The sequence below is a fragment of the Homo sapiens genome, chromosome 19, assembly GCF_000001405.40.
Source record: "Homo sapiens chromosome 19, GRCh38.p14 Primary Assembly".
In the NCBI taxonomy this organism is placed as follows: domain Eukaryota; kingdom Metazoa; phylum Chordata; class Mammalia; order Primates; family Hominidae; genus Homo; species Homo sapiens.
Genome location: NC_000019.10, coordinates 41454139 through 41469231, shown reverse-complemented (window position 1 = coordinate 41469231; position 15093 = coordinate 41454139). Strand labels below are relative to the sequence as shown.

At 42.4% G+C, this 15093-nt stretch overlaps 1 long non-coding RNA gene across 2 annotated transcripts in view; it reads left to right on the top strand.

Annotated features, from left to right (window-relative positions):
- Nucleotides 1-15063, top strand: part of PCAT19 (prostate cancer associated transcript 19) — a 46481-nt gene extending 31418 nt beyond the window's left edge. For both annotated transcript variants that reach the window (NR_136334.1, NR_040109.2), the window contains one exon: nt 12745-15063. This is a non-coding gene — a long non-coding RNA (prostate cancer associated transcript 19). The remainder of the gene's footprint in view (nt 1-12744) is intronic.
- The last annotated feature ends 30 nt before the right edge of the window (nt 15064-15093 follow it).

Here is a 15093-nt window from a genome sequence, read left to right as displayed (position 1 = left end):
TATACAGGTGGGGAGAGTATGATATTACTCCAAATATCGCAGGGGGTTCTTTCCCCCTGTGATATTGTTCCTAACATTCAGGGAGGGAGAGGATGATATTACTCTTAATATTGCAGGGGGTGTACCCACGCCTATGATATTGTTCCTAATATCCAGAGGGGGAGAGGATGATCTAACTCAGAATATGACAAGGGGTGTACACACAGCCTGTGATATGGTTCCTAATATACAGGGGAGAAGGGGATAATATTTCTCCCAATATCGCAGGGGGTGTACAACCCCCTGTGATACTGTTCCTAATATACAGAAGGGGACAGCATGATATTGTTCCTAATATCGCAGGAGGTGTACAACGCCCTGTGATATTGTTCCTAATATCCAGGGCGGGAGAGGATGATATTACCCTCAATATCGCAGGGGGTGTGCACTTTCCCTGTTATATTGTTCCTATGATCCGGGTGGGGGGAAATGACATTAGTCCCAATATCGCAGGGTGTGTGCACCGCTCCCCCGTGATATTGTTCCTAATATCAAGGGGGAGAGAGGAGGATATTACTCCCAATATCGCAAGGGATGTACATCCTCCATGCGATATTGTTCGTAATATTCAGGAGGAGAGAGGATGATATTACTCTTAATATCGCAGAAAGTGGACACCCACCCTGTGATATTCTTCATAATATCCAGGGAAGGAAACGATTATATGACTTTCAATATCGCTGGGAGTGTACATCCCTTTTGGGATATTGTTTCTAATATCCAGGAAGGGAGAGGATTATATTACTCTCAGTATTGCAGGCAGTGTACACCTTTTTTGTGATATTGTTCCTAATATTCAGAAAGGGAAAGGATGATATTACTCCCAATATTGCAGGTGGTGTATATCCCCCTCTGATATTGTTCCTTATATCAAGGAAGAGAAAGAATAATATTACTCCCAATATCAAAGACAGTGTAGACCCCTCCTGTGATATTGTATTTAATATCCATGGGGAAAGAGGATGATGTTACTCCCAATATCGCAGGGGGTTTACACCCACACTGTGATATTATTCCTAAAATCCAGTGGAGGAGAAAATAATATTGCTCCCAATATTGCAGGGTGTATACAGGCCCTCCCCCGTTATATTGCTCCTAATATCCAGCGGTGGAGAGGATATTACTTTCAATTTGTGTAGGGAGTGTATACCCCCCTGTGATATTTTTCTAATATCAAGGATGGGAAAGGATGACATTACTCCCAATATCGCAGGAGGTGTACACGCCCTGTGATATTGTTCCTAATATCTAGGGAAGGAGAGGATGATATTACTTTCAATATTGCAGGAGCTGTACACCCTCTGTGGTATTGTTCTTAATATTTAGGTTGGGAGAAAATGATATGAGTCCAAATATCGCAGAAGGCATACACACTTCCAATAACATTGTTCTTAATATCCGGGGGAGAGGGTGATATTACTCCCAAAATCTCTGGGGTGTGTACACCCCCTTCTGATATTTTTCCTAATATCCAGGGAAGGAAACGATGATATTACTATAAATATTCCAAGGAGTGTACACCTTCCTAATATCCTAATATTGTTCCTAATATCCAGGGGTGGGAGAGGATTATATTACTCCCGATATCGCAGTGGGTGTACACCCCTCCTGTGATATTGTTTCTAATATCCAAGCTAGGAGAAAATGATATCACTCTCAATACCACAGGGGGTGTACACCTTCCGCATCATATTGTTCCTAATATTCAGAGGGAAAGAAGATGAAGTTACTTTCAATATCGGAGGGGTTGTACACAACCCCTGTGATATTGCTGCTAGTATCCAGGAAGAAAGGGGATTATGTTACTCCCCTTATAGCAGGGGGTATACACCTCCCCTGTAATATTGTTCCTAATATCAAGGCTGGGATATACGTGGGGGGAAGGATGATATTACTCCCAATATCGCAGGGGTTATACAACCTTCTGTGATATTGCTCCTAGTAACCAGGGCAGAAGAAGATGATATTACTCCTAATATCGCAGGAGGTGTACACTCCCCCATTATGTTGTTCCCAATATGCAGAAAAGGAGAGGATGACATTATTGCCAGTATCGCAGGGTGTGTACACCACCCCTGTAATATTGTTCCAAATATTTAGGGGGAGAGAGGATGATATTACTCCCAACATCGCAGGGGGTGTACACACATCCCCTGTAATATAGTTCTTAAAATCTAGGGGAAAAGGGGATCTTATTTCTCTAAATATTGCAGAGGGTGTACACTCCCCGGTGATATTGTTCCTAATAGCCGGGAGGGAGATAATTAAATTACTTTCAATATCTCAGAGAGTGTACATCGCCCTTGCGATATTGTTCCTAATATCCAGAGCAAAAGAGAATGATATTACTCCCAATATCTTAGGAGTGTACATTTAACCTGTAATATTGTTCCTAATATCCAGGGGGAAGAGAATAGTATTACTGCCAATATCGTAGGGGTTGTACACCTTTTCTGTGATATTGTTGCAAATATTTAGTAGAGGGAAAGAATATTACTCGCAATATCACAGGGAATGTATACTTCCCCTGTGATATTGTTCTGATATCCAGAAAAAGAGAGGGTAATATTACTCCCAATATTGCAGGGGGTGTACACCCCCCTTGTGATATTGATCCTAATATAAAGGAAGGAAGAGGATATTACTCCTCATATAGAAGGGGTTGTCCACCCCCCTTGTGATATTATTCCTAATATTCAGGGAAGCAGAGGATGATATTATTTTCAATATCACAGAGGGTGTGCAGTCCACCTGTGATATTGTTCTTAATATTCGGGGGGAGAGGATGTTATTATGCCTGATATCGCAGTAGAGGTACACCCCTCAAGTGATACTGTTCCTAATAACCAGGGGTGAAGAGGATGATATTACTCCCAATATCGCAGGTGGTGTACACCCCCCCATGATGGTTTCTAATATACAGAGGGGGAGAGGAAAATATTACTCCCAAAATCGCTGGAGGTCTACACCCCCCTTGTGATATTGTTCCTAATATCCAGGAAAGGAAACGATGATATTACTGTGAATATTCCAGGGGGTGTACACCCGCTTTGTAATATTGTTCCTCATATCCAGGGTGTGGAGAGGATTATATTACTCCCAGTATCGCAGGGGGTGCACGACGCCCCTGTGATATTGTTTTTCATATCCAGGAGGGGAGATTATTATCAATATGGCAAGGGGTGAACACCCCCTGTGATATTGTACTTAATAGTTAGGTTGGCAGAAAATGATATTAGTCTCGATATCGCAGGGGGTGTGCACTCCGCCTGGTGATATTGCTTTTAATATCAAGGGGGAGAAAATGGCATTACTCCCAATATCGCAGGGGGTGTACACCGCTCATGTGATATTGTTCCTAATATCCAGGTGGAGAGAACATAATATTACTCCCAATATCGCACAAGGTGTACACCCCTCCTGTGATATGGTTCCTAATATCCATGGGAGGAGATGATGATATTACTCCCAATATCACAGGGGATGTACACCACCCTTGTGATATTGTTCCTAATATCCAGGGAAGAAAACGATGATATTATTGTGAATATTACAGGGAGTGTACACACTCCCTGTGATATTGTTTTTGATATACAGGGTGGGAGAGGATGATATTACTCCCAATATCACATAAGGTGTACACCCCCCGTGATATTGTTCTAAATATTTCGGTGGGGAGAAAATGATATTAGTCTCCATATCACAGGGGGTGTGTGCTCCTCAGGTGATATTGTTTTTAATATCAAGAGGGGGAGGAGATTATATTACTTTCATTATCACAGGGGGTGTACACCCCTCCTGTGATATTGTTCCTTATATCCAGGCGAGGGGAAAATAATATTACTCTCAATATCGCAGGAGGTGTACACACCCCATGTGATATTGTTCCTAATATTAAGGGGGAAAGAAGATAATATTACTTTCAATATCACAGGGTTTGTACTCCTTTCTTGTGATATAGTTTTTAGTATCCAGGGGGAAAGAGCATGATATTACTCCCATTGTAGCAAGGGGTGTACACACCTCCTGTGATATTGTTCCTAATATCCAGAAGTGGTGAGGATGATATTACTCCCAATATCGCAGGGGGTATACACCCCACCTATGATATTATTTCTAATATCCATGGGAAAAGAGTATGATATTACACCCAATGTCGCAGAGGGTGTGTATTTTTCCTGTGATATTGTTTCTAATATTCAGGCGGGGAGAAGATGATATTACTCTCAATATAGCAGAAATTGTACATCCCCGCTGTGATATTCTTCATAATAATCAGGGAAAAAGAGGATGATATTACTACCAATATTGCAGGGGGGTTACACTTCCCCTATGGTAGTGTTCCTAATATCCAGGAAGAAAGAGGATGATATTAATCCCATTATCCAGGAAGTGTACACCCACCCTGTCATGTTGTTCCTAATATCCAGCAGGGAAGAGGATGATATTACACCCCCCCCCCCGTGATATTCTCCTTAATATCCAGGAGGGGAGAGGCTGATATTACTGGATATATAGCAGGGGTGTTCATACCTTCTGTGATATTGTTCCTAATATCCAGAAAAGGAGAGGATGATATTACTTCCAATATCGCAGAAGGTGTACACCTCCCTGTGATATTGATCCTGACATTCAGAAGGGGAGAGGATGATATTACTCAAAATACCGCAGGGCATGTGCATTCCCTTGTGATATTGTTCCTAATACCCAGAAGGGAACAGGATAATATTACTTTCAATATCGCAGGGAGTGCACACCCCCCTTTGGTATGGTTCTTAATATCCAGAAGGAAAGAGGGTGCTATTACTTTCCATATTGCAAGGGGTGTACACCCCACTGTGGTATGGTTCATAATATCCAGGCAGGGAGAGGGTGCTATTACTCCCCACAGTGCGGGGCATGTACACCCTGCTGCGGTACGGTTCCTAATATCCAGGGGGAGAGAGGATGCTATGACTCCCTATATCGCGGGGTGTGTACACCCCTGTGTGGTATGTTTTGTATTCTCCAGGAACGGAGAGGGTGTTGTTACCCCTCATATCGCTGGAAATGTACACTCCCCTGTGGTATGGTTCGTAATATCCAGGGGATTGAGGGTACTGTTACCCCCATACTCCCCATATCGTGGGGGGAGTGCACCTCCCTGTGGTATGGTTCGAAATATCCAGGGTAAGAGAGGGTGCTATTATTCCCCATTTTGCAGGAGGCGTACACCCCCCTATGGTATGGTTCGTAATATCCGGGGTGAGGGGATGCTATCAAAAGAAGAGAGAAAGAGACCCCCCATATTGTTCTATATTATTTTATACTCAGTACCTGTTTTAAGAAGAAACAAGGAAGTGAAACCAAAAGCAGGCAGCCCGGCGCCAGGCACCAGACCCAAAACCAGACCCGAAACCAGGCCTGGGCCTGCCTGACCTTAGCCTGATAGTTAAAATTCAACCCATGACCTAGCAACCAATGTTATCCATAGATTCCAGACATTGTATGGAAGGACATTGTGAAATTTCTTGTTCTGTGCTGTTTCACTCTGATTACCGGTGCCTGCAGCCCCTGTCACATACCCACTAGATTGCTCAATCAATCATGGCCCTTTCATGTAAGATCTTTAGTGTTGTGAGCCCTTAAAAAGGACAGAAATTGTGCACTCAACAAGCTCGGATTTTGAGACGCTAGTCTTTCGATGCTTCCAGCTGATTAAAAGCCACTTCCTTCACTACCTCGGTGTCTGTGGGGTTTTGTCCGCGACTCCTCCTGCTACACTATGACTCCCCATATCAAGGGGGGTGTACACCCCCCTGTGGTTCGTAATATCCAGCAGGGGAAAAGGTGCTATTACTCCCCATATTGCAGGGAGTGTACACCCCCTTGTAGTATGGATCGTAAAATCAAGGGGGGAGGGAAGGTGTAATTATCCCCATATCTCAGGGGGTGTACACCCCTTTGTGGTAAAGTTTGTAATATCCAGGGATATTACAGGGATATTATCCCCAAATTAATACTTTTATAATTTCTTATGCCTGCCTTTACTGCAATCTCTGAACATAAATTGTGAAGATTTCATGGACATTTATCACTTCCCCAATCAATACTTTTATAATTTCCTATGCCTGTCTTTACTTTAATCTCTTAATCTCATCATCTTTGTGAGCTGAGGATGTATGTCGCCTCAGGACCCTGTGATGATTGCATTAACTCCACAAATTGTTTATAAAACATGTGTATTTGAACAATATGAAATCTGGGCACCCTGAAAAAGAACAGGATAAGAGCGATGTTCAGCGAACAAGGGAGATAAGCATAAGGTCTGACTGCCTGTGGGGCTGGGCAGAACAGAGTCACATTTTTCTTATTGCAGAAAATGAGTAGGAGAAATATCACTGGGAAGGGAACGCATTCCTAGGGGAGGCCTATGGACGGCCGCTCTGGGGGTGTATCCCTTATGTGGTTGAAGATAAGGGATGAAATACACCCTGGTCCCCTGCAGTGCCCTCAGGCTTGCTAGGATTAGAAATTCCAGCCTGGCGAATTCTAGTCAGACCAGTTCTCTGCTCTTGAACCCCGTTTCCTGTTAAGATGTTTATCAATGACAATGCGTGCACAGCAGGACATGGAACCTCAATAGTAATTCCATTTTCTCCCTGGCCTTGTGACCTTGCTAGGCCCTTCTGCCCTTGTGATCTTTTATTGCCATTTGAAGCATGTGATCTCTGTGACCCACTCCCTATTCGTATCCCCCTCCCCTTTTGAAGTCCCTAATAAAAACTTGCTGGTTTTGCAGATCAGGTGGTCATCACAGAACCTGCCGATATGTGATGTCACCCCGGAGGCTCAGCTGTAAAATTTCTCTTTCGTACTCTTTCACTTTATTTCTCAGACCAGGTGACACTTAAGGAAAATAGAAAAGAACCTACTTTGAAATATTGGGGGCTAGTTCCCCCAATAGACATTGTTCCTAATATCCAGAAAAAAAGAAGATGATATTACTCCCAATATCACAGGGGTTGTGAACCCCACCTGTGATATGGTTCCTAATATCCAGGAAGGGAGAGAATGATATTACTCTCCATATTGCAGGGGGTGTGCACATCCCTGTGATATTGTTCCTAATATCCAGGGGAGGAGAGGGTGATATTACTCCCAATATTGCAAGGGTTGTAAACTCCACCCTGTAATATTGCTCCTAATATTTAGGATTTAGGGGGGGAGAGGATAATATTACTCCCAATATCGCAGGGGATGTATATGCCCTCTTTGATATTGTTCCTAATATCCAGGGGGGGAGAGGATAATATTACTTTCCATATCACAAAGAGTGTTCACCCCCCTGTGATATTGTTCCTAATATCCAAAAAGGAAGAGGATGATATCAATCCCAATATCACAGGAAGTGTACACCCCCCCCTTTTATATTGTTTCTAATATCCAGGGGAAATGAGGGTGATATTTCTCTCAATATAGCAGAATGGGTACACTCCCCCTGGGATATTATTCCTAATATCCAGGGGAAAAAAAGAGGTTGATATTCTTCCCAGTATAGCAGGGAATGAATACACCCTTTGTGATATTGCTTCTAATATCAAGGGGAAAAGAGGATGATATGACTCCCAATATCACAGGGGATGTAAACCTGTGGCGTTGTTGCTAATATCAAGGAGGGAAGAGTATGATATTACTCCTAATGTCGCCGAAGGTGCACACTTTCCCTGTGATATTGTTCCTAATATCCAAAAGGGAAGAGAATGATATTACCCCCAGTATTGCAGGGTGTACACCACCCCTGTGATATTGCTCCTAATACCCAGGAAAAAAGAGAATGCTATTACCCCCAATATCTAAGGGGACGTATACCTTCCCTGTGATATTGTTTCTAATATCCAAGTGGGGAGAGGATGGTTTTACTCTCAATATTGCAGGGAGTGTACACTCCCCCTGTGATACTGTTTCTAATACTCGGGCTGGGAGAAATAGTATTACTCCCAATATCGCAGTGATATTGTTTCCCTGTGATATTGTTTCTAATATCTAGTGGGGGAGATAATTATATTACTACCCCATACACAGGGGAGGGTGTACATTCCCCTGTGATATTGTTTGTAATATCCAGGGAAGGAGAGGATGTTACTCCCAATATCACAGGGGTTGTACACCCCTTTTTTGATATTGTTCCTAATATCTGGGGGGCAGAGAATTATATTACTGTCAATATCACAGAGTGTGTACACCCCCTCTGTTATATTACTCTTTATATTCAGGGCGGTAGAGGATGATATTACTCCCTATATCACAGGGGGTGTTCACCCCTCCTGTGATATTGTTTATAATATCTAAGGGGAAAGAGGATGATATCACTCTCAATATCAAAGGAAATGTACACCTTTCCTGTGATATTGTTTTTATTATATAGGGGGGCAGAGGATGATATTAAGAACAATACCACAGGGGATGTACACCCACGTATTGATATTGTCCCTAATATGTATGGGGAAAGAGGACAGTGTAACTCCCGATATCGCAGAGTGTGTACACCCCCTTGTGATATTGTTTCTGATATACACGGGGAGAAAAGATAATATTTCTTCCAAAATTGCAGGGGGTGTACAACCCCCTGTGATATTGTTTTTAATATCCAGTGGGGGAGAGAATATTACTCCCAATATTGCAGGGCGTGTACACAACCCCTGTGATATTGTTCCTAATATCCAGAGTAGGGGAGGATGACATTACTTTCAATATCGCAAGGGGTGTACATTCCCCTGTGATATTGCTCCTAATATCCATGAGGGGAGAGGATGATATTATTCCTAATATGGCAGGGGCTGTACACCTTCCCTGTGATATTGTTTCTAACATCCAGTGGGGGAGAAAATGATATTACTCCCTATATCACAGAAGGTGTACACTTTCCCTGTGATATTGTTCCTAATATCCAGAAGGGGAGAGGATAATATTACTCCCAATATCGCAGGAAGCTTACAACTCCCCTGTGATATTGTTTCTAATATCCAGGGAGGTAGGGATGATATTACTCCCAATATCGCAGGGGATGTACACTCCCCCGTGACATTGTTTCTAATAACCAGGGGGTGAGAGGATGATATTACGCTTAATACCGAAGGGGGTGTACACACCCTTGTGATATTGTGCCTAATAGCCAGGGGGAAGAAAATTATATTAATTTTAATATTTATGGGGAAAAAGGATGATATTACTCCCAATATCACAGGGGCTGTACACCGACCTTTTGATATTGTTTTTAATATCCAGAAGAGAAGAGGATAATATTGCTCCCAATATCAGAAAAGGTGTAAACCCCTTCTGTGATATTGGTCCTAATATCCAGGGAGGGAGAGAATAATATTACTACCAATATCACAGAAGGTGCCCACCCCCAAGGTGATATTGCTCCTAATATCCAAAGATAATAGGGTGATGTTACTCCCAATATCACAGGAGGTGTTCACACCCCTTGTGATATTGTTTCTAACGTACAGGGAAGGGAGAGGATGATATTATTCCCAATATCACAGGAGGTGTATACTCCTCTGTGATATTGATTTTAATATTCGGGGGGAAAGGATGATATTACTCCCTATATCGCAGAGGGTGTACACCCTCTGTAATATTGATCCTAATATCCAGGGCGGGATAGGATGATATTACTCCCAATATCGCAGAAAGTCTACACAACCCCCAGTAATATTGTTTTTACTATCCAGGGGGAAGAGGATGACATTACTCCCAATTTCACAGAGTGTGTACACTCACCATTTGATATTGTTTCTAATATCTAGGGGGAGAGAATATATTACTCCCAATATCACAGGAATTGTACACCACCTCTGTGACATTCTTGTGAATATCCGGGGAAAAAGAGAATAATATTACTCCCAATATTGCAGAGCGTGTACACCCCTCCATGATATCGATACTAATATTTTTTTAAAGAGGATGATATTACTCCCATTGTCACAGGATGTGTACACCCCCCTTGTGAAATTGTTCATAATATTCTGGGGGGAGAGCATAATATTACTCCCCATATCGAAAAAGGTGTCCACCCTCCTTATAATATGGTTCCTAATATCCAGGATATTACTTAATCCAGGATACTTGTAATATCCTAAATATACAATTGCTTGAACCTCCACCTCCCAGGTTCAAGCAATTCTTCTGCCTCAGCCTCCCGAGTAGCTGGGACTACAGGTGCACACCACCACACCCAGCTAATTTTTTTTTCTTGTATTTTTAGTAGAGATGGGGTTTTGCCATATTGGCCAGGCTGGTCTCAAACTCCTGACCTTGTGATCTGCCCACCTCAGCCTCCCAAAGTGCTGGGATTATAGGCGTGACCCACCGTGCCAAGCCAGGAAGAGGATGCTCTATAGATTTCTCCAATAAGAGATGGCTTTGCAGGGCCATTCCAAAATATGTCAAAGAAATACATTTGGGGATAAAATACTTTGATTTCCTTTAGGGAATGTTATCTATTATGTGATGCTATACCAGAGTCAGGTTGGAGTCGGTTATCTTATTGCAACAAAGAGTCTGTTCCGTCACTGTTGGGATCTCTATTTTTTCCTCTTATTTCTTGAGACAGGGTCTCACTCTGTCACCCAGTCTGGAGTGCAGTGGTGCGATCTTCATTCACTGAAACCTCTGCCTCCTGTGTTCAGGTGATTCTCGTGCCTCAGCCCCTTAAGTAACTAGGATTACAGGTGTGCGCCACCACACCCAGCTAATTTTTGTATTTTCAGTAGAGATGGTATTTTGCCCTGTTGGCCAGGCTGGTCTTGAACTCCTGGCCTCGTGTCATCTGCCCACCTCGACCTCCCAAAGTGCTGGGACTGCAAATGTGAGCTATTGTGCCCAGCCAGGATCTCTGTTTTAATGTTAGTGCTGGTCACTTTGCATGAACTCCAAAGGGAAGAAATATAATGAGGTGTGTCTGACCCCCTGCCTTCTCATCGTGACCTGAATTAGTTTTTCAGGTTTGCAGGGGATACCCTTGGACAAGAAGGGGCTCTATTCGGTTGGTTGGGGGGATTAGAATTTTACTTTTTGTTTACAATATTTCTCCTGAAAGAGTTAGGGGCTCACAAGGAATTTCCGCGTGAGCAACTTATGAGGAAAGCCATCTGGGAAGATATGTGTCCTTGTGTCACTGGGATATTCTCGTTTACCCCAATGATACGGCAATGACGCAGGGTTGTGAAATTACAGCTATGTGTTTGGGGAAAAAAGAAAGCAGGATTGTGTGACTACGTTTCCAAACTTCACTTGCCCTTAGCCATAGTGAGTTGGGGGCCTGGAGATTCTGTTTTCTTTCACAATGATATAGATACAATTGAATGTATAGAAAGCAAAAAAATAAAAAGGTGAGTAATGAGGAACCTCTGATTCCTGAGTGGCCATGTAGTTACCCATGGCACAGAGCCACAGTTACTGAAGGTAAAGTTTGCTGGGGAATTTAGAAATGAATCCAACTCTTGGAGGAGTCAGTTTACTGGATGCCTAAGAAAATGCAAACAAAATAAGAAAAAAGGGTAATATTCAATCCCATAGTTATTGTTACCTGTCATAGCTAAAGTAAAATTAAAACAGAGTGCTGGCTTCAATCTTGATGCTACACTAAGCTTAGATTTCAGTGAATGTGAGTCTCAGCCACTAGCTCAGAGCCACCTCCCAAAGACCAAATCATGTAGGGACAATAGAAAGTACTTCTGAGAATTGTGGTTACCAAGAACCTAGTAACTGTTGGGGAGGAGCAAAACAAAGTACAGAAACCAGAGGGTACAATCTGAGTGAGACTGCTATCAGCTTCTGGAGGAGCCTTTACTAAAATGAATGATGAGAGTAACTGGATGATGAGAGTAACTAATGGATGATGAGAGTAAGCAATGTCTTTGGTTTTCTTTTTTTTTTTTTTTTTTTTTAGCAGACGTCTCACTCTTGTCGCCCAGGCTGGAGTGTAATGGCATGATCTCGCCTCACTGCAACCTCCACCTCCTGGGTTCAAGCAATTCTCCTGTCTCAGCCTCCCGAGTAGCTGGGACTACAGGCACTCATCACCACACCTGGCTAATTTTTGTATTTTTAGTATTTTCTGGTGAGGGTCCAGGTTTCCGGAAACAACTCAGAGACATATGTTAAGATGTTATCTTTAGTTTTCACAGGGAACCAAATATGTTACGACTCCAATTTCCTTGGCTATTGTTTTAAGTTACCATTACCTTCTCGTTGATCAAGTTGCTCATTTACTTCTCAAGCCTAGCTAGATGCCTGGAATTTCCCTTGAAGGAAGTCAAGATTTTCCTTTATCTCCATACTGGCTGATGGTGATCGAGTAAGCCCCTAAGAGGGGTCCCTGCTCCATCTCGAGATGCTGCTAGATTCTACAGTGCCTAATAAACAGCTCTCGCCTGGCCGACAAAGAGCTGCTTGCTCTCTGGATAGCAATTCCAAAGTGAACAGACAACATCCTGTTTGGAAGACTGCCACTCTGTTAGAAGAAGCATCAGGAAAACCTTTCTTTTGAGCTATTTATAACTAACAGCAATTGACCAAGTATACTTTTGTGAGTGAAACTGACCTTTCTCCCTGTAAGAATTCTCCAAAATTTGGAAACTATTTGTGAGTATTTTTACTTATGGCAATATAATTATTGGCACAAGCTCAATCAGATTCGGTTTTCTTTCGTAACAGGAACCATTGGAGATACTCATTACTCTTTGAAGGCTTACAGTGGAATGAATTCAAATACGACTTATTTGAGGAATTGAAGTTGACTTTATGGAGCTGATAAGAATCTTCTTGGAGAAAAAAAGACTGGGTATATTTTCAATATGCTTTCCTTTTAAGGTCCCTCACCTGTGGAAAGTAAAGAATGTCACTTTCTGACAGGCTCAGGAACCTCAAGTTATGTAGGGATCTCAAGAAGATGGGGGAATTCACCCAGTTCATACAGGTGAAATTGCTGTTGCAAAGATTATGAATATGAGAGAAGTCCAGCATGGCTGACTTCATCTCGTGTCTGGCCTCAGGCTGGCTGCCCTTGCTCACTCTTGGGCATAGGCCAAGCTAGCCATGGGAGGAATTTAGTTTATAGTTTAACTTTGAAGCACGGATGATAATAGTCTCTCCCTAAAATGAACCCCTTCCTTGCTCAGGGACTGAAACTACCTTTGTATGACAAATGAAAGCCCACAAGATTAAGATTATGAGAGGGGCCTGAATTCTGCTAAAATGCAGGTGTAGCTGACTGATAACAAGTCATTGTCCCACAGCTTGCCTTTCTATAATCTCTTGCTTCTCAGGAGTCACATGGCCAGAGGTCCTGAGATTTCCAGTCCTGTGACCCCCACCCAGAGATGGACTTAGTGCATGAGGACCATTTTCCACACCCCTATGATTTCATCCTCAAACAATCAGCAGCAACCATTCCCTAGCCCCCTGCCTTCCAAATTATCCATAAAAATCCTAGCCTCTGAGTTATTAGGGAGATTGATTAATAATCCCAGTCCTACCCCTTGGGTTGCTCTGATTTAATTAAACCTTCTCTACTGCAATACCACGGACTCAGTAAATTGGTTTTGTCTGTGCAATGGGCAAGAAGAACATGTTGCATGGTTATACAGGTACTACAAGCACAGTCTGATGGCAAATTATTGGTTTTGCTTCCTGCCCTTGATGTTTCTAAACATCTAGTCCAAAATTACTTGTGAAAGGTCCAGCAAAGCCAATTTTAAAAGAGGCTATATGGCCAATCACTATTCTTTCTACACATTATTGCAAATAATCAGGCCACGGCTGGGCACGGTGGCTCATGCCTGCAATCCCAGCACTTTGGGAGGCTGAGGCAGGATCACCTGAAATCAGGAGTTCAAGACCAGCCTAGGCAACATGATAAAACCCTGTCTCTACTAAAAATACAAAATTAGCCAGGCATGGTGGCATGCACCTGTAATCCCAGCTACTTGGGAGACTGAGGGAGGAGAATCACTTGAACCTGGGAGGCAGAGATTGCAGTGAGCTGAGATCACACCACTGCACTCCAGCCTGGGCAATAGAGTGAGACTTTGTCTCAAATAATAATAATAATAATCAGACCAAGTATAATGAAATTAAAATTTATTTTGCAAATAAATTGGTCCTACTACAATTTATCCTTCATAGAAATGTGGAAACTGAAGATAAAAAAAATTAGGTTTCAGAAGAAAACTATACTACACCTGTTATTAGATTCTAGCCCTAAACATTGTTTTTGAGGTTTTTATTATTTACCTGCAATTTGGTCTAAATTCTGAATTATTTCCTGACTACAAGTATCCAAGGAATAAATGGGTTTTCTTTTTCTTTATGATAGTTTTAGTTGGCTTCTAATGCAACAACAATTTTTATTGTAATCCTGTGTGCATTCTATTCCTACTATTCAAATTATTAATGTTATAGATCTTTCATTGTAGTACTTCTGAATTAACCAAAATCACAGTATTCTGAAGATGATTCTACAAAGCCTGCTGTTTCTACAAAGGCTGCTGATGATTTCTACAAAGCCTGCTGTAGTGTTGCTGTGGCCTCTGCTTAAAAAAGTAGAAAACACATTGATGCAGCATGTTCACCCCAACCTCCCTGCCTAAAGGCTCAGGGACCATCTTGGAAGAGGAAGGCGCGTGAGATTGTAAGAGCCGAATTAGGGGGATGGAGTGTGGAGAATAAGGACACTTCATCTTGGATGCTCACCTGCCAAATTGACTTCTGATGAAAGCCAGCTCCAGAAATGTGCCTACAGTTACTACTTTCACCTAAACCCTGCCCTTAGTCAAATCCTTCTCTTCTTCTAAGCAATCAACTTCAATTCCTTGTATAACCCACAGTATAAAAGGGCTTTTATACCATTCTATCCTATTGCATGTAAGCCTTGGGTCTGGGAGGTAACAGTGTGGGATTCCACCATCTCATCTCCCTGCCACCCAAACATGCCTGCTCTTCTTTAAGCAATATTAAATGTTTGTACTTCAGAAATTTGATTTGTCAGCCTCTTCTTCAGACTCT